The sequence below is a fragment of the Homo sapiens genome, chromosome 3, assembly GCF_000001405.40.
Source record: "Homo sapiens chromosome 3, GRCh38.p14 Primary Assembly".
Taxonomy (NCBI): Eukaryota; Metazoa; Chordata; class Mammalia; order Primates; family Hominidae; genus Homo; species Homo sapiens.
Window position 1 is genome coordinate 64,496,032 of NC_000003.12, and position 19,532 is coordinate 64,515,563.

Below are 19,532 nucleotides of genomic sequence, written 5' to 3' on the forward strand. Positions count from 1 at the left end.
GAATCAATTTTAAAAATCCATTTATATCCATTTTGAACTCTGTGTCACAGAAGTCAGCATTTAATTATGTGCACGTGTGATATCCCAGTGGGTATAATTGGGGAGTTGATGCTGAATTGCACAGAACAGGGTATGCTGCAGTTGGGCAGACCCAGGTTTAAATCTTGGCTGTACCACCTACTAATCATCACCCTGTACAAGTCACTTCACTTCTCTGAACCACAGCATATGCATCCATAAATGAGAACACTAATAGCTACCTTCCAGAGTTGGGGGGATTAAATAATATGAGAATACCCTACTATTTTTAATACATTTTATTAGTGGAATGGGATCAGAAAGACTCAGCATACTTAGGTGAGCTGAGCCTTTTTGATCCCATTCACCCAATAAAACTGTGAGGTCTTTGTAAGGCCTTTGCCTATTATCTTCATCTTGGTGTCTGCAATGCCAAATATGAGGTCCTATATAAAGTATGTACTCAATAAATGTTTATTGAATTAACAGAGGACTGTGGGAATGGGTTACGTCTTTCCTTTATCTGGCACTAACCAGCAGTAGTGGCTTGAATAGTCCCTGCTCCACCCCCAAATACATCCACATCCTAACCCCTAGAACCTGTGAATGTGACCCTTATTTGGAAAAAGGGTCTTTGTAGATGTAATTAATGTAAGGATCTCCTGGATTATCTGGGTAGGACCCAAATCCAGTGGGTCCTCATGAGAGACACAGGCAAAGACACAGACACAGAGGAGAAAGAAGGCCATGCAAAGATGGAGGCAGAGATTGGAGTGATGTACCCACAGGAACACCTGGAGCCACCAGAGTCTGGAAGAGCAAAAGGAGAGATTCCCCTTTAAGGCCTCCAGAGGCAGCATGGCCCTGCACAGTTGGTCTGACTTCTGCTCCATCTTCTGGCCTCCACCACTGTGAGAGAATACATTTCTGTTGTTTTAAGCCACCCGGTTTGTGGTCATTTTTTGCGGCAGCCGTAGTAAATGAATACACCAGCACGTAGGAGGCATTCATGCTTAACACTGGAACTTAATGCTTAAACACTGGAAGTGTCAAGTGAAGGGATTTGGACTCATGTTTTGATATCAAATCCTTAAACTCTACTGTACACCCAAAGCATGTTATCCAAGCTGGCTCGACTATGATCTAGAAATTTGGGGTACAGTACATTAACCTTGGAAATTCCATTGTAAAAGGAGCCAGAAATTCTGCTAAGCCACTCAGATGACACTACTTATTTTCCTGGAAGAATACACCAGGTACTTCCACTAGCCTGACCCAGACCAGCCACCCATGGCAGAGAGTGCTAATAGATAGTAACTGCTTCTTGCTGAGCATCAGAGATGCCATGTAAACATCCTGATAGAGGCACCAAAGAGCAGATGGAAATTCTATCTAGAGCTCAGGGTGGATCAGAGTCAGCCCACAGCTTGGCTCCCACCTCCAGCCTGAGTTCCAGGTGCTTGTGTCCAGCTGCTCCTTGACTCTCCCCCCGGATGTCTCCCACCTGGCATGTGTAACAAATGGGGTCGGGGGATCAGGGGTCCGACTGAACCCCTGATCCCCCGACCCCATTTGTTACTTCGCCAGTGTCTTCCATCTCAGAAACAAGTCACTCTGTTCTTCCAGTTACACTGTTCTCTTGGATTCCTCTATTGGTCTCACATTCCTCAGCCAAACATGGTGGTACTGCCTTAAGAAGACATCTAGAATATAGTCACTTGGCACAATTTCCACTGGCACTGCAGATCACTGTGACTTCTGGACCTCCCCCCTCCCTTTTTTTTTTTTTTTCACAGAGTCTCGCTCTGTCACTCAGGCTGAAGTGCACTGGTGTCATCTCGGCTCACTGCAACCTCCACCTCCCTGGTTCAAGCGATTTTCATGCCTCAGCCTCCCGAGTAGCTGAGATTATAGGCATGTGCCACCACACCTGGCTAATTTTTGTATTTTTAGTAGAGATGAGGTTTACCATGTTGGCCAGGCTGGTCACGAACTCCTGGCCTCAGGTTATCCACCCGCCTTGGCCTCCCAAAGTGCTGGGATTACAGGTGTGAGCACCCGGCTGCGGCTTACGTGGCTTGCGACCGTAAGCCGCACCCGGCTGGGACTGGTCTATTTTAAGAGCTTTTTCCTAACTAGTTTTTCTGCTTTTCTCCCAGCCTGATGACATTCTATTCACCAATAGGCAGCCAGAGAAAGCTTGAAAGCTTTTTAAAACCCAAGTCAAGTCAAATGGCTTCCTACCTCACTCAGAAAGGAATTCAGGCTCCTGATCCTGGTTCCTAGGTAAACGTGTGGACTGCGCCCATCCCAATATCCTGCCCCATTCTCCTCTGCTTTCATCTTTTACTACTCTCCCCTCACTCATAACTCAAGTCCCCTGGCCTCCTTGCTGCTCCTTTAAAATGCCAACTGTGGGGCTGGCAAGATGGCTCATGCCTATAATTCCAGCAGTTTGGGAGGCCAAGGCAAGTAAATCACTTGAGGTCAGTAGTTTGAGACCACCCTGGCCAATACGGCAAAACTCTGTCTCTACTAAAAACACAAAGATTAGCTGGGTATGGTGGCTGGCACCTGTGATCCCAGCTTCCTGGGAGGCTGAGGCAGGAGGATCACTTGAGCCCAGGAGGTGGAGATTGTGGTGAGCCAAGATCACACAACTGCACTCCAGCCTGGGCAACACAGCAAGACTCTGTATTAAAAAAAAAGAAAAGCCAAGCATACTCCTTCCACAGGGCCTTTGCATCTCCTGTTCCCTCCACCTAGAACACTATTACCCCAGACACCAGCATAGGCCCATCACTTTCATCATTCAGGATCTAACCCCATGGCCACCTTTGAGTACCCTATATAACAGTGCCTTTCCTGTCACTCTCTGATCCCTCTGCTTTAGTTTTCTTCTTTTCATATTGCATGGCTTGTCCATAGAATGACCTTGGACATTAGGCTTAAAAATTCCACACCTTCCTGAGAGATATACACAATTTAATCTGAAATCTCTAAGAGTTGTGTGGCCTTTAGATTCTGAAGGGGGAGAAAAAGCCAAATTCTGGTCAAGTTCATGTGTTCTGTATTAGTCAGTGTTCTCTAGAGGGACAGGACTAATAGGATAGATGTACATATGAAAGGGAGTTTATTAAGGACTACTGACTCACACGATCACAAGGTGAACTCCCACAATAGGCCGTCTGCAAGCTAAGGAGCAAGGAAGCCAGTCTGAGTCCCAAAACCTCAAAAGTAGGGAAGGTGACAGTGCAGCCTTCAGTCTGTGGCTGAAGGCCTGAGAGCCCCTGGCAAACCACTCATGAAAGTCTAAGAGAACAAAAGCTGAAGAACTTAGAGTCGGATGTTCGAGAGCAGGAAGCATCCAGCACAGGAGAAAAATGGAGGCCAGGAGACTTAGACAGTACAGTTTTTCCATGTCTCTCTGCCTGCTTTTATCCTAGCCACACTGGCAGCTGATTAGATGGTGCCCACTCAGACTGAGGGAGGGTCTGCCTCTCCTAGTCCACTGACTCCAATGTTAATCTCCTTTGGCAACACCCTCACAGACATACCCGGGAACAGTACTTTGTATCCTTGAATCCAATCAAGTTGACACTCAATATTAATTATCACACACCTTTATCTACAGAGTGAAAGAAATGCAAAAACCAACAGTGTATGGGTGAGAAGTCATGAGTTACATGAATATAAAGAATGTAGGTGAAGCCACCACTTCTTCTTAAGGCTTCCCTTAAGAAGGAATTCAGCTGGCCCATTAGACACCCCAAGATCTAGCCATACCTTAAACTCAGCAAACCCCAAACTTGAAAGTGCCAATATCACTGCTTCCTTTAGGATTAAGCATATTTCGACCCTGGGGAAATTTATGATTTTTTAAATATTTAAGATAATCAAGTCATAATATTAATATGTGTATAAATATTTCATGTTAAAATGTATATTTTATGTGCTTATTATATTTACAAGAATTTGGTCTATTAGAATGAACAGATCAGCCTAGTACTCATTTCAAATATGTAATTGAGTAATAATTGATCTTGGCTTAGAATTTTAATTTGAGACCTTATTAAGTTTATACATATTGTTAGAATATTTAAGACACTTTAAAAATTACATTTATTCTCTTAATTTAATAGATTTATATAAATTACTTAGGTACCTAGGAAGATTTATCAATAACACAAATGAGCTTACTAAAAAGTGAAACTGAATACAAAGAATTTATAAATGTACCTTAAAATGTTTGATAGTGTTGGAATTAATTGAGTTCACAAATGGACTCAAACATTCAAATGATCTTTAAAAATGACGGCTCACAGTTTTTGAGACTTACAAGTAGACATATAAGCTGAACTTAAAGCCTTGCTTTTTAAAAACATGTGCCTTTCGTAAATTAATCATGGCCAGGTGCGGTGGCTCACGCCTGTAATCCCAGCACTTTGGGAGGCCAAGGCGGGCGGATCACAAGGTCAGGAGATTGAGACCATCCTGGCAAACACGGTGAAACCCCGTCTCTACTAAAAATATAAAAAATTAGCCTGGCGTGACGGTGTGCGCCTGTAGTCCCAGCTACTCGGGAGGCTGAGGCAGGAGGATGGCGTGAACCCTGGAGGTGGAGCTTGCAGTGAGCCGAGATGGCACCACTGCACTCCAGCCTGGGCGACAGAGTGAGAATCTGTCTCAAATAAATAAATAAATAAATAATTAATCATTAATTTCTAAAACCAAGATACACTTTGAAATGGTCTTTTCTGTGCACCAAAACCATCGAGGATTTCAAACGTTACTTATTTATCTCTTTTATGCCTCATTAGAAAATAAGCCCCACAAGAATGAGTATTTTGCCTAATTTATCGCTGGACTCCCAGTTCTTAGGGTTGTGCCTGGCATGTAGCAGGTGCTTAGGAAAATTTTGTTGCATGAAGGCAAATACCCTTTGCCCTGAGTCCTACAGGATTGCTGGGTGCATCCTAAAGAGACTAAAGCCCAGTGATTGCCTAGAAGACACCCAAGATCCTGAATCAAGTTAGATCCAAGGGTTTGGGGACAGTCTTAGGACATTGATTTCCTGGGCCTTCTGCTCCTCAAAGGCACCTATGCCTGCTACCTCCTCCATGAAGTCCTGCACTGTACCCAGAGTATGTTACACTGGGTACATGTAACATGACTCAACATTGTAAGGTTACTTTTGTGCTTGTTTCGTTTCCTCTCCTGGTGGGCTGAAGAGTTCTACATTTCTTTATCACCCAACTCTCTCACATGCCTTTTGAATGAGTGAATGAACTAATGGACAAACGAATGGTGCTTTCGTAAAGCATACTTTTGTGCTTATGGCTCCATAGAGATTAACGGCCCAGGCTTTAGAATCAGACGGAATGAGCTCAAACCCCAGTTCCGAGGCTGGTGGTATGTGACTTCAACCCATGTTTAAGAAATATTGTGAGTATTGCATGCTTTAAAAATAAACATTAACCTCAATCTGCTTACCAGGCAAGATAAAGGGAAAAGCTAAACTCAGGGCACCAGTGGAATCATTTAAAATTGTTTGCTTAAGATATGTCAATAGATACCTGCAGATGTGAAGGCTTACCAGGACACGCAGGCCATTTAGAGAAGAGCTTCAGTATGGTTTACATTTCAGCCTCAGTATTTATAAACAGAACAAAATCCGGAGGGAAGAAGCCTGAGAAGATAAGCCTTTAGGTAAATAGTTCCAGAGGCACCAGAAGCTGCTTCCTGGGATGGGCCAGTAAGGCTTAACAATGGGGAGGTTGGGTGCAGTCGGAGAGTAGGGTGGGAAGGAGAAGTGGAATAGACCAGGATTTCAGATCAGTACTTCTTAAGTTTTAAAATGTATTAAAATCAGCTGGCGATCTTGTTAAGTACAGCTTCTGATTCATAGGTCTGTGCTGGGGGTCTAACATTTTGCATTTCTAACAAGCTCCCAGGTGATGTTGATGCTGCTGGTCTGTGGACCACACTTTGAATAGCAACATTCTCTGGCATGAAAGCATTATATATCCCTCCAAAAAGAGCAGTGAAGACAGAAGTACAAACAAACAATCCCCTCCCCAAAATACAGATAGTGGCCAGTACTTTGTTTTTATTCTCATCAATTTAGGTGTCTTAGAAACTGTATCTTAATATAAACCACATTGAAAAAATGCTCAATTTATTTGCTCAACAAATATTTATTGAGAATCTACTAAGTGCCAGGGCTTGTTTCAAATTTTTAGGGTACAGTAGTGAGCAGCTTGCCCTTGAGGAGTTTATATTTCAGTGTGGGAAGACAGACTCATAAACACTTAAAGACATACACAAGCCAAAAAAAAAAAAAAAAAAAGCTGAAATTGCTTCAAGTTGCGATAAATGCCAAAGAAAATAAAACAGGGCTATGAGTCAGCAAGGGGCTTGGGAAGAAGGGCTTTTGGAAAGGGCTGAGAAGTAGCCAGCCACAAAAAGTTCTAGGGGGAGAGTGTCCATTTGAGGGATAGCAACAGTGTGGTTGATGTGTAGTGACCAAGGGGGAAAGAAGTAGACAAGGGCAAGACTATGGTAAGCAACTAGGGTTTTATTCTATTTGTGATGGAGTTTACAGGGTTTTAAGCAGGAGAGTGATATGAACAGTTAAAAAGATAATTCTGATCAATTTAAATATCATCAGTAGTGGCACAACCAGCCATTTTGTGCCTCCTAGAATTTGGAGGACACGGTGTCACTTATGAAATAGTCTTGCTGAATGTAATTAAGGCTTTAGATCTAGCATCTAGTTTATAAGAAACACAGGAGTTAGCGGATCAAGTTAAAGTACATCACGAGAAAGTACACCAATAAATCCAGAAGATGGGATCACTGGCCTCCTTTTCACCAAATTCGTAGCATGAAAACAAAGGAGGTGCTTTAGAAGAGAGTTAAGAGAAATAACGATCAAATGTATGCAACATGTGGATCTTAATTGGCTCACGGTTCCAATACACCATCTGTAAGAGACATTTTGGGACAACTGGAAACATTTTAGGATGGAAACAAGGCCTTAGGAATTATTTTAATTATGTCAGATGTCATAATGGCATTGTGGTTAGGGAGAAGAATGTTCTTATTTTTTAAAGATGAATATTGAAGAAGTTAGGAGTGAAAACTCATGATGTTTGAATTTCTTAATGATTTGCTTCTAATGAATAGAATTTAGCAAAAGGGGTGGCATGTCACTGTTATGGTTTGGCTGTGTCACTACCCAAATCTCACCTTTAATTGTAATAATCCCTACATGTCAAGGAAGAAGGCAGGTGGAGATAATTGAATCATGGCGGATGGTTTCTTCCATATTGTTCTTGTGGTAGTGAATAAGCCTCACAAGATTTGATGGTTTATAAATGGGAGTTCCCCTGCACAAGACCTCTTGCCTGCCACCATGTAAGACTTGACTTTGCTCCTCATTCGCCTTCTGCCATGATTATGAGGCCTCCCCATCCATATGGAACTGTGAGTCAATTAAACCTCTTTCATTTATAAATTACCCAGTCTCAGGTATGTCTTTATCAGCAGTGTGAGAAGAGACTAATACAGTCACCTCTGAGATTAGGTTATAAAAGGGTGTCACTTCCATCTTGCTGTCATTTTCTTTCAGGCTCTTTCCACTTGCTCACTCTGAGGAAGCAAGTTGCCATGTCATGAACTGCCCTATGTAGAGATCCAAGGGACTGAGGGCAGCTTCCTGGCCAACAGCCCCGAATTCTGCCAACGACCATGGGGTGAGCTTGGAAGCAGATCCCTCTACAGTCAGCCTAGAAATGACTACAATGCTGGCCAACGTCTGATTGTAGTCTACGTAGTCTGTGACCTTTCAGGATCTCTAAACCATACCTGGATTCCTGATCCATAGACACAATGAGACAGTAAATGTGTGTTGTTGTAAGCTCCTAAGTTTCAGGGTGATTTGCTATGCAGCAATAGATAACTAATATACCATTATATAGGTAGCCCATTTAACTAATCTACTATTAAGGGGCATTAGGTTATTTCTAAGACTTTGCTATTGAAAAGAATGCTACAATACACTTCTATTAGTCCTATTATATTTTAAGGAAATTATTTTTAAGTTACACTTAAAAATTTATGATTTTGAGAATTAACAAATTGCCCATTGCAGAGGTGGAGAACACTTTTTTTTTTTTTTTTAGATGGAGTCTCGCTCTATCACCCAGGCTGGAGTGCAGTGGCGCTATCTTGGCTCACCGCAAACTTCGCCTCCCAGATTCAAGTCATTCTTCTGTGTCAGCCTCCCGAGTAGCTGGGATTACAGGCATGCACCACCATACCTGGCTAATTTTTGTATTTTTAGTAGAGATAGGGTTTCACCACATTGGCCAGGCTGGTCTTGAACTCCTGACCTCAAGTGATATGTTTGTCTTGGCCTCCCAAAGTGATTACAGGTATGAGCCACTATAAGTGGCCCTAGAGGTGGAGAACACTTTTGCAAATACTGAGTACTACCAATGTTTTCATCATTCGATAGATGAAAAAAATTCTCATTGATCTTTTAATGTATATTCCATTGATTATGAAATAAATTGGGTGTAATTCATTTGCTTGTCATTTCCTTTAAGTTTTCTAAAAATTGCCTGTGTTTTCACCATATTTCTTCTTTTTCCTTTTATTCTCATTCTTTCTCTTTCTTCTTTATTTTGACTGTTCTTTTATTTTTCTTCAGCAAACACTTTTTTTAAAAGCAAGTTATTTATCTTTGTAAATGGAAATAATGCCTTAATCTGGCAAATGTGTGGAGAACATTTTTCTCCCAGTTTAGAATTTATCTTTGGACTTTGTTTATGGATTTCTTTATTTTTTCATATATATATATTTTATTTTTATATGGTTAAATTTTTAACTTTTCTTCCTTATAACTTCTGAGTTTTGCATAATTTCTAAAAAGATGTTCTTACTCAAAGATGCTGCCAATGAGAATGATGATGGTGATGCCGGAGGGAGGAAGAGAGGAGGAGGATGATAAATACTTGCTTTATGTAATATATTATGTGCCAGTTACTGTTCTATGAACTTTGTGCATATTTCACTTAATCCCTGAATTACCCTGTAAGGGAAGTACCATTATAACCCCAACTGACAAACGAGGAAACTGACGTCTAGAGAGAAGTAAGTTGTCTAGATTTTAGAGGCTGTGATCTTTACCACCATGCACTTGCAAAGGCTGTTTTTGATGCTGTTCCTCGTGGGTTTTATGCCAACACAGAGCACTTTGGTCTTTGTGACTGCAAAGCCAACTCCATTTCTTGGGTGCCAGGGGTAATTATAATGCTTTTTCATGACCAAAGAAGTCTTTTATTCCATAGAAAAATGGAGCCATAAATGATTTAGCAAACACAAGGAGGCAGAAATGGAAATCGTTGCTGAAAACCGGCTCTTATCTGAGCGATGAATTGGGGCTGGAACAAGAAGCGTGGCCTTTCAGAATTGCTCACATCCTATACCAATTAAGGGTTTGGGGAAGCCGACAATGGCTTCCTGTTGTGGAAATCACTTTGAAACATGTAGGCTGGTAGTTAAAGCCATTAGTTCCTCTTGGGCTTCAAGGACAACTACAAAGAAAATATTTTGTAAATTGCGCAAGAAGCATGGATTTGGAAACCCCTGGGTTAGCCCGAACTGGTCAAGCAATTGCTTTTAACAGTATTTCCTAAATGGACTAATACCTGGTGGGGAGATAGAAAACAAACCTCACTTCAGAAAGACAACTTAGGGCTTCTTAAAAGCTGCAGGTCTCTCTGCCTCAGACAACCATTGAGAGAAGAGCTAGGGTCTTTCCTTGGACAAAGAGTTTTCATTTCAGTCTCAAGATTGAGGGGATGCAAATAAGCCCAGCACTTCTTGCCTGACCTTTCCTTGTTGAAAAGCTCCTGCATCATTCTCAGCAAACTATTGCAAGGACAAAAAACCAAACACCACATGTTCTCACTCATAGGTGGGAAATGAACAATGAGAACACCTGGACACAGGAAGGGGAACATCACCCATCAGGGCCTGTCATGGGGCAAGGGGATGGGGGGAGGGATAGCATTAGGAGAAATACCTAATGTAAATGACGAGTTAATGGGTGCAGCACAGCAACATGGCACATGTATACATATGTAACAAACCTGCACATTGTGCACATGTACCCTAGAACTTAAAGTGTAATAATTTAAAAAAAAAAAAAAAAAAGAGCTCCTGCAGAAAACCCAGAAGGACACCCAGGCAGGCATTTCTATGTGCCTTGAAGTCATATTGAAAGTTGAGATACAAAGAGCAAGAGAATAGGAGGCAAGTCGAAGTCACTAACTGGAAAATTGCTTTATCTCGAGTTCTCAGGGGCCTATGGCTCTTAACCAGTGGCAGCTAATACGAAACATAGTTGAGCACTCACCGGAAACGTTCCAGTCGGGACTAATTTTCTTTCTTTCTCCGCTTGCTCTTGTGAAGCAAGGTTATAAATTTTCTCTTCTTTCTGTGAGGTAGCTTGCTGGTGTGAAAAGGCAGTGTGGCAAGAATGAGGAGGTGTTGGCTCTAGTTTTGGCACTGCGTTTTAACTTCTTTAATGTCCTGGACACAGCTGCTTTGAATCACACCTACATTGAGCTGTTAAGACCCCGGGTTTGAGAGCTGACTCTCTTACCCTTTGATTCCCTCATCTTTAAAATGGGAATAAAAATAGCAGCTCCCTCAAAGAGCTATCATGAGGGTTCCACGAGAGGCCATGTGCAAAGCATTTACAAAGCTCCTGGCAGGTTTCAGCTCAGGGTGAATGGTGCCCTCCAGAGTTGTGCAGAGGATCAGTTCTGGCCTGTCACGTACTGCATTGGTCTAGGTCAGGGTTCTCCAGAGAAACAGAACCGACAGAATAGATAGAAATGGAGATAGATCTATCTCTAGGTCGATCTATCTATCATCTATCTATCTATCTATCTATCTATCTATCTATCTATCTATCTATCTAATCTATGTATCTATCTAATCTATCTGTATCTCTATCTGTCTATCTATTATACCTATGGAGAGAGAGAGATAAAAAGAGATACTTTAAAGAATTGGCTCATGTGACTGTGGGGGCTGACAAGTCCAAAATCTGCATGGCAGATGAGCAGGCTGGCACCCCAGGGAAGAAATGGCATTTCAGCTAGAGTCTAAAAGCAGTCTGAAGACAGAACTCCTTTCTTTGGGGACATCTATCTTTTTCTCTTAAGACCTTCATTTGACAGGACGAGGCCCACTGACATGATGGAGGGTAATATGCTTTCCTCAAAGAGTACTGATTCAAATGTTAATCACATCTAAAAAATGCCTTCACAGCAACATCTAGACTGGTGTTTGACCCAAAACTGGATACTATGGCCTATTCAAGTTGACACATAAAATTAACCATTACACATAGTAAGTGGTCTTCTTTGGTCTAAATGTTCATGTCCCCCCAGAATTTGTATGTTGAAATACTTACTCCCTGAGGTGATGAGATTAGGAGATGGGGTTTTTGGAAGGTGATTAAGTCATAGGGGTAGAGCCCTCATGAATGGGATTAATGACCTTATGAATGATGCTTGAAAGAGACCTCTCATTCCTGCCCTGTGAGGTCAGAATGAGAAGACAGCTATCTATGAGAAAGCGGGCCCTCACCTGACATTGAGTTTGCTGACACATTGATCTTGGACTTTCCAGCCTCCAGAGCTGTGAGAAATAAATTCCTATTTTGTGATTTTTTTTTTTTTTTTTTTGGAGATGGAGCCTAGGCTGGAGTGCAGCAGCACGATCTCGGCCCACTGCAACCTCTGCCTCCTGGGTTCAAGTGATTCTCCTGCCTCAGCCTCCTGAGTAGCTGGGATTATAGGTGCCCACCACCACGCCTGGATGATTTTTGTATTTTTAGTAGAGACAGGGGTTTCACCATGTTGGTCAGGCTGGTCTTGAACTCCTGACCTTGTGATCCACCCATCTCGGCCTCTCAAAATGCTGGGGTTACAGGCGTGAGCCACAGCACCTGGCCAATTCCTATTGTTTATAAGCCACCCTATCTTGTTATAGTAGCCTGAAAAGACTAAGGCATGGTCAATAAATGTAGTTAATATTCTTCTTATGATATAGTTATTATTTCTGTTGTTGCTGATCTATCTATATGCCCTTTTAGGCCCCTTTTAGTCTTGATATCTTCTGTTGAACAACGTGCATCTGCATTTAGGGAAAGGAAACAGAAAGAACTGCAGTATTGTGCAAGCAAATGGAACCTGAGAAGGATATAAACAGGAAAATCCAGTTTTCTCAACACTTGGTCATGGAGTTGAGATGAAAGTTGGGCCAACACCTTCTCCATAATAACCTTTCCCAAACTAAAACACAGATTATATGTAGCATTTATGTATTACATAAACTTCAAATAGCTAAGAGATATTGAGTACTTACTATATACCAGCCAGTGTTCTGAATGTTTTAATTAACACAATAAGCTTCACAGCAACCATATAATGCAGATGCCGGTGCCAATATGTTCCATCTCACTGATGAGGAAGGTGAGTCCAGGGAGTGTAGAGATCTTGTCCAAAGTCATACAACTAGGGAGTAGGGGGACCCAAATAAGCCACTGTGTCCTGTTCTAGAGCCTGTAGGTCCTGACCACACGTCCAGCATGCAAAAAATTGTAGGGCTAAAGCAATGGGATGAGGGACATTGCCACTGCCTAGAGACTCCACTGCTGTGTGGCAAGGACACTGTAAAGGTGAGTCTCTCTAGTGTGCATAAAGGTCTCTTGGAGAGCCTGTTAAAAACTTGGATTCTCAGGTCCCACCTCTAGAGAGACTGATTGAGTAAGGCTGGGGTGTGTCCAGGATCCACCTGGGATCCCACTAAGTCTCCTGCTTTTGCCCTGGTCATGTTGGGGCTCACAAGGCTCTCAGAGGTGCATCCATTCTGTGGAATTGTGAAGCTGAGCAATAAGCACTGAAGAAATATCCTGGCTCACTAAGAAAGATGAAGACAGCACTGCTACCAAGTATGCCCATGGAAGTTTCTGTACCTAATAATGGCTCACGTACTAAAAGTCTGTCATAAGAGAGGTCTTATGAGCCTTGACAAAGTCATGAGAGACATCCAGAATTCAGTGTACCAACACCTAGCACTATAAGAGTTCTATGTCCTAGGAAGTATGTGTAAGACTGCAGAATTCTTGTCAAGTTCAAAAGTCTTTGGATCAAAGCAGAAAGAGATTTGTATATAACAGCCACATACAAAATCAATCAAGCAATAAAATGGCTGCAGACTTTGGAATGTAGTCAGAAAAATTAGGCAATACATGGAATATGAATCCAGGAACGTGGGCTATGGGAACACCCCTCGCTTGAAGTTAAGGGTCACTGACGTAAAGTCCAGTGTGGCTTGTTGGGGATTTGGACAGACCAGCATCTGGTCCTTAAATGTTTGCAGAAGGGGGAGTAGATAGAATAACGGCCTCCCGAGGATATCCATGTCCTAATCTCCAAAACCTGTATACATGCCTTTATATTACTTTACATGGCAAAAGAGACTTTGCAGATGTGATTAAGTTAAGGATGTTGAGATGGGAAGATGATCCTGGGGTACCTGGCAGGCCCAGTGGAATCACAAGGGTCCTTACAAGAGAAAGACAAATGAGTAAAAGCCAGAAAAAGGTGACATGATGATGGAAACAGAGGTCAGAGAGAGAGGGAGATTTGAAGATACTATACTGCTGGCTTTGCAGATAGAAGAAGGGGTCATTAGTCAAAGAATGCAGGCAGACTTTAGAAGCTGGGAAGGGCAAGAAAACAGACTCTCCACCTAGAGCCTCCAGAGGGAACGCAGCCCTGCTGACCCATTTTAAATATCTGGCCTCCAAAACTGTAAGATAATAAATATGTGCTGTTTAAAGCCACATAGATTTGAAGTCATCTGCTGCAGCAACATAGGAAACCAATATAGAAGGCTTCCCTCAAATTTACATGGGATGATCTCATAGTTTCCTTAGTTGGAGTAAAAAGAATTTCCCTGGTTGTCTTCCACCCCAGACCTGTGCCCAAGGTAACCTCTGGCTCTACAATAGGTATTACGAGCACACAACTTTTATTCATGCCAAGAGTGAGATCTGAGACATAAAAATCTTCAAAGACACCAGAAATATTAAGAAGAATATGTTAAAACTTAGTGGTTTATATTGTCATGATGTTAAAAATTCGAACTTTTATAGTGGCAGCTTATAATGCCAGTTTAAAACGTGTCATTGAGTACTTGATTTAGATTTGTGATTTTAAGTCAAAACTACACTACATTAATTTTCTATTTTGGAATATTTTAAAGAACTTTAAGTCCATTGATTTACATAATATTCATATTCTATATATGTGTGTATTTATACACACACACACACACACACACATATATATGGTTCGAGCAATTCTCCTGCCTCAGCCTCCCAAGTAGCTGGGATTACAGGTGCCCCCTACCACGCCCAGCTAATTTTCGTATTTTTAGTAGAGACAGGGTTTCACCATGTTGGCCAGGCTGGTCTCCAACTCCTAAACTCAGGTGATCCGCCCGCCTCGGCCTCCCAAAGTGCTGGGATTACAAGTGTGAGCCACCACGCCTGGCCTAAATCATTTAAGTATTCAGAAAGGTTTGCTGAGTGAGATAACTGAAGGACCTAAGACAGAAATATAATCTGTTAAATGTACAAATGTGATACAAAATATTTCAAGCCTTTTAATTAAGTCACAAATAAGACAAACATTAGTCGAAAGGTTTTTTTAAAGTAATTGAAGAAAACTAGGCTAGTAAATAAATAAAATGATAGAATTTGTAAGTTTGAATCAAAAGTTTAAGGAACAACTAGGTTTCTGAACTGTAAATGTAATAAACTGAGTATCAATTCTTTTTACACCTAACCATCCTTGACCACGCTGAGACATCTCATATCAGTGGCCTATAAGGCATTTGATCCTAAGTCCAAACCAAGTGGCAGGATGCAAGTCACATATGACGATGTACATTTCTGCGCAAAGTCACTGTTTCTTTCCCATTGTAATTGGATGCCCTTCTTATTAGCACTTTGAATATTTGTTCCTTTTGTTCCTACTGGAAATCACTGGGGTGAATAATGTTATAAAACCAGTTGATTGCCTACCTGGCAGACCAACATGCCCCTAGAGCTACAGCAAAAATTGCCTTCAAAACTTTTTTGGAAAAATCAGTATTTGATATTTAAAAGGAAAAGTAATATACATGGAAAAAGACCAACTTCCTGGTCTGGAGTTCTTGTTTAAAAGATGGGGCCTCGTTATGTCATCCAGGCTGGAGTGCAGTGGCACAATCATGGCTCACTATAGCCACTAAATCCTGAGCTCAGGCAATCCTCCCAGTTTAGCCTCCCAAGTAGCTAGGACTACAGGCACGTGCCACCACACCTGGCTAATTTTTTAACTTATTTGTAGAGACAGGGTCTTTCTATCTTGCCCAGGCTGGTCTCAAACTCCTGGCCACAAGCAATCCTACCTGGGATTATACTGAGTCACTGCATTTTGAGATGCATCTTGGAGTTATCTGTCATTTTGAGGTACATATTCGAGGGGAGAAGTATCATCTTTTTAGGGCTTAGGACTTCTAAGGATCATAAGCCGCTTTGCAAAATGACCTCTAAGATGAGAAGAGCACTTGCTTGGGCAGCACATATACTAAAACTGGAGTTGTACAGGGAAGATTAGTGTGGCCCCTGTGCAAGGATGACACACGAATTCGTGAAGTGTTCCATATTAAAAAATTAAAATAAAATAAAATAAGCAGATTATCAGTGCAATGGTCCAGGCATAATAGAGCAAGACCTCTCCCACCGTCTGTTGGTGATAGGTGGTTTCCCACGCTCAGCGAGGTTAGTGGCAGGCTTTGATGGGGACCCACAGCTTTGCTCATAGCTATGAAGTTTGTAAAGAAGAAATGTCTGACCACCCTATTTAAAACAGCAACATGCTCACCCCATGGCATCTGGCATTCCCAATTCCTTTTCCCTATTTTATCTCTCTCTCCGATGCTTCTCACCTTCTGACACACTAGGTTTCGCTTGCTATTTTTCACTTCTGTACCAATCAGAGCATAAAGAAAAATCAATGTGCCAAGGCAAAGGGAACCATGGCATCTTTGCACACTCTGGGGTATGAAAGTTCTTGGTGCTCAGGGAATGCCATCCCAGGCCATCATGGTAGATGAGCAGCCATCATGGACAATATGGTCAGATTTATTACTGGAAAATAATTGCAGGGTGGTTTAGTTGTTGATTTGCTTGTTTTCTCTCTCTTCTGTCACTGCCAAAATGTAAGCTCAAAAGGCAAAGAGATGTTTGTAACTTTTGTTCACTGTTTGTGGCAGAAGCAACTAATTTCCTCAGTAACAATTCTCTCCTTCTTCCTTATAGTAACAGACCCCCCCCCCCGCCCACCTCCACTTAGTATGAGCTGGGCATGTGGTTGCCAGCTGGAAAGTACACTTCCCAGCCTCACTTGCAGCTAGGTGTGGCTATGCCAATAAAATATTGCCAATATATTGTAAATAAAAATTATGCTTCACCTTCCCTGTCTTGCCTTCAAACAATTGCTCCCTTCCTGCAGGCTGGATGCAGACCTTGCGAGGAGGAACCATATGAGGACAATGGCTTTGAGAATGGCCAAGATACAAAACAGAAGGATCTTAGTCCTCTGATGTTATGGAGCAGAGTCACCTACCAGTCCCAGAGTGCCTGCTACCTCTGGACAGCAAGTAAGAGAAATAAAAGTCTACCTCATTTTGGAGTCTCTTTGTTACAGCCTGTGTTATGGACTGAATTTTGTCCCCAGTCCTTACCCCTGAATTCCTATATTGAAGCCCTAACCCTAATGTGACTGTATTTGGAGATGCCTATAAGAAGGTAATGAAGGTTAAGCGAGGTCAGAAGGGCAGGGCTCTAATCTGATAGAAATGGTGACCTTGTTAAGAGGAGGAAGAGACACCAGAAATCTCTGTCTCTTTTTCTCTGCGCATACACAAAGAGGAGAGGCAATGTGAGGACACAGGGAAAAGAGGCCTGTTTATAAGCCAGAAAGAAAGGCCTCCCCAGAAACCAACCCTGACAGCACCTTGATCTCGGCCTTCTAGCCTCCAGAATTGTGAGAGAATAAATTTCTGTTATTGATACCACCCAGTATGTGGTATTCTGCTAAGGCAGCCTGAGCAAACTCATGCTGTCTCTTAGCCTTGACCTTAACTGAAACTGCTGCACCCAGGCCTTAGATGAGTGCCTCAAAATTAGTCGATATGCAATGAATATTACTTGATTAAATAAATACAATGCAAAGACAATATTTAATTTGTGCAGTGCTACACAAATATAAACGATTACTGGACTCTCATAGATTGTACATCTGTCTATCCACCCACCCATTCATCTTTTTGTCACCCTGGTTGTGTTTACAACGAAAATAAAGTCTCATCTTTGAACTCTTACTGTTTCCTTCACTCCCACAGCCCATCCCAAATCTATCAGTTGTCAGCTCCTATTAATTTTACCACCTGTATCTCTCTATAGTTGTTTTTTTCCGTACCATTACAATGATCACCACTCCAGGTCTCATTTATCTCTTACTGACTCTATAAATGCTTCCAAAACTTTCTCTCTTCAATCTCTGTATTTGATCTATTGCAGAGACTGGTAATTGCCTCTTTCAAATTCATTTTGCTTTCTTTCCTAGGAACAGATGCCTCATTTTATTTTCTATGGCAAGGTACTGTGTGAAACAACCCCATTTCCCCACTACTCCTACAGCCACATGACTGAATTCTGGCTAAGGAGATATAAGTAAAATTTGTTAGGTAAGGTTTCTGAAAAACCTCTTTAAAAGAACAATAGAGAACTGAAAATATGCCACCTTCTACTCTTTTCCCTACTCCTATTATTTTTTTTTTTCCGGTCACCTGGAAATTTGGGAGTGATTGCTGGAGCACTAGCAGCCATACTGAAATACGGAAGAATGAAGAGAGAAGGAGAAAGAGAAATGAACTCTGTCCCTGATGAAGTCGTGGAGCTGCCATCTGGATTGCCTACCTCCTACATAACAATGAAATATACTTTTACATAACAATGAAATACACTTTTTTTTTTTTTTTTTTTGAGACGGAGTCTCGCTCTGTCACCCAGGCCGGAGTGCAGCGGTGCAATGTCGGCTCACTGCAAGCTCTGCCTCCCGGGTTTACGCCATTCTCCCGCCTCAGCCTCCCGAGTAGCTGGGACTACAGGCGCCCGCCACCAGGCCCGGCTAATTTTTTTGTATTTTTAGTAGAGACGGGGTTTCACCGTGTTAGCCAGGATGGTCACGATCTCCTGACCTCGTGATCCGCCCGCCTCGGCCTCCCAAAGTGCTGGAATTACAAGCGTGAGCCACCGTGCCCGACCTGAAATACACTTTTAAATATGTAAGCCCTTGCAGTCAGATCTCTAATTAGGTGCTGAACACAATTCCTAACTGATTAGGGAGCCCATGCCTTCACTGCTGTCAGCTTAAGCTTGCTGACGCACATATTGAGGGCAGCTATTTTGCTAGCACTGATGCAGGGCTAAAAGGGATATGAGAAAACACTATCCTGGAAGGTAAGTGGGAGGACTATCAATAGCCTCATTTTACACATGAAAAAACTAAGGCTCAAGATCATACAGTTAGTAAACACCAGAGAAAGGAAGAGAACTGAGGCCTCAAATGATGCTGAGTGATGGCAAGGGGTAGGACTTTGGTGTAAGCTCTGCGATTTGGAGATTGTACACAGGCACATGCATGTGTTCACACACACACACACACACACACACACACACAATGGGAAACTGAGTGGATGCCTGCTTTTTTCGTGTCTCCATCCTATCTCCCCTTTTCTCTTCTTTGAACCATCTCTTTTTCACTTGAAGCTGTTGATCACCTGACTCTAGGCTGGCACAGGATCCCAGGCCCCTTGATATTGTGATTGGTCCAGAAGCGGTCATGTGACCCAATCAGAGCCAGAGTTCTTTGGGAGACGACTACTTACTCACTGTGTGTGAACTTTAGCCTGTTTGTAACTCTAAGACTCTGTCTCCTTACCATCAAATGAAGGTTAGTCTATTACCTAGTGTATTTTGTGGTTGTGAGGATGAAGTGAAACAATAAAAGTGAAAGGCCTGGCATATGGTGGCTGTTCGATGATCATTTGCTTCTAGTAGACATGTTTAAAAAGCTCTCTTTTTTCCCTGGACACCATACAGGGTAGGAACTACGCACAAAATGAACAATTAAGCACCCAAAGCCCACCTAAATATATTGTTTTTTTGCTCATTTGTTTCCCAAGAGGGGTAAGTTCCCAGTTTCCAGAAGAACCACTTTAATTGACTTGCATGATGAAAAGACAGATCTTATGGACAAGCCCCATCCCCATCTGTCTCTAGAATGGCAATTGTAATAAATGAAATAGAT

At 42.1% G+C, this 19,532-nt stretch overlaps 1 pseudogene, besides 1 other annotated feature; it reads left to right on the forward strand.

Annotated features, from left to right (window-relative positions):
- Positions 11,317–12,516: an enhancer, noted in NCBI's record as "BRD4-independent group 4 enhancer chr3:64493024-64494223 (GRCh37/hg19 assembly coordinates)". NCBI's record gives its function as "activates an origin of replication core promoter dependent on BRD2, P300/CBP, MED14 and CDK7 cofactors, and independent of BRD4, by STARR-seq in HCT116 cells {active_cell/tissue: HCT116}" and the evidence as "EXISTENCE:reporter gene assay evidence [ECO:0000049][PMID:35650434]".
- Positions 15,724–15,826, forward strand: RNU6-739P (RNA, U6 small nuclear 739, pseudogene; annotated as a pseudogene).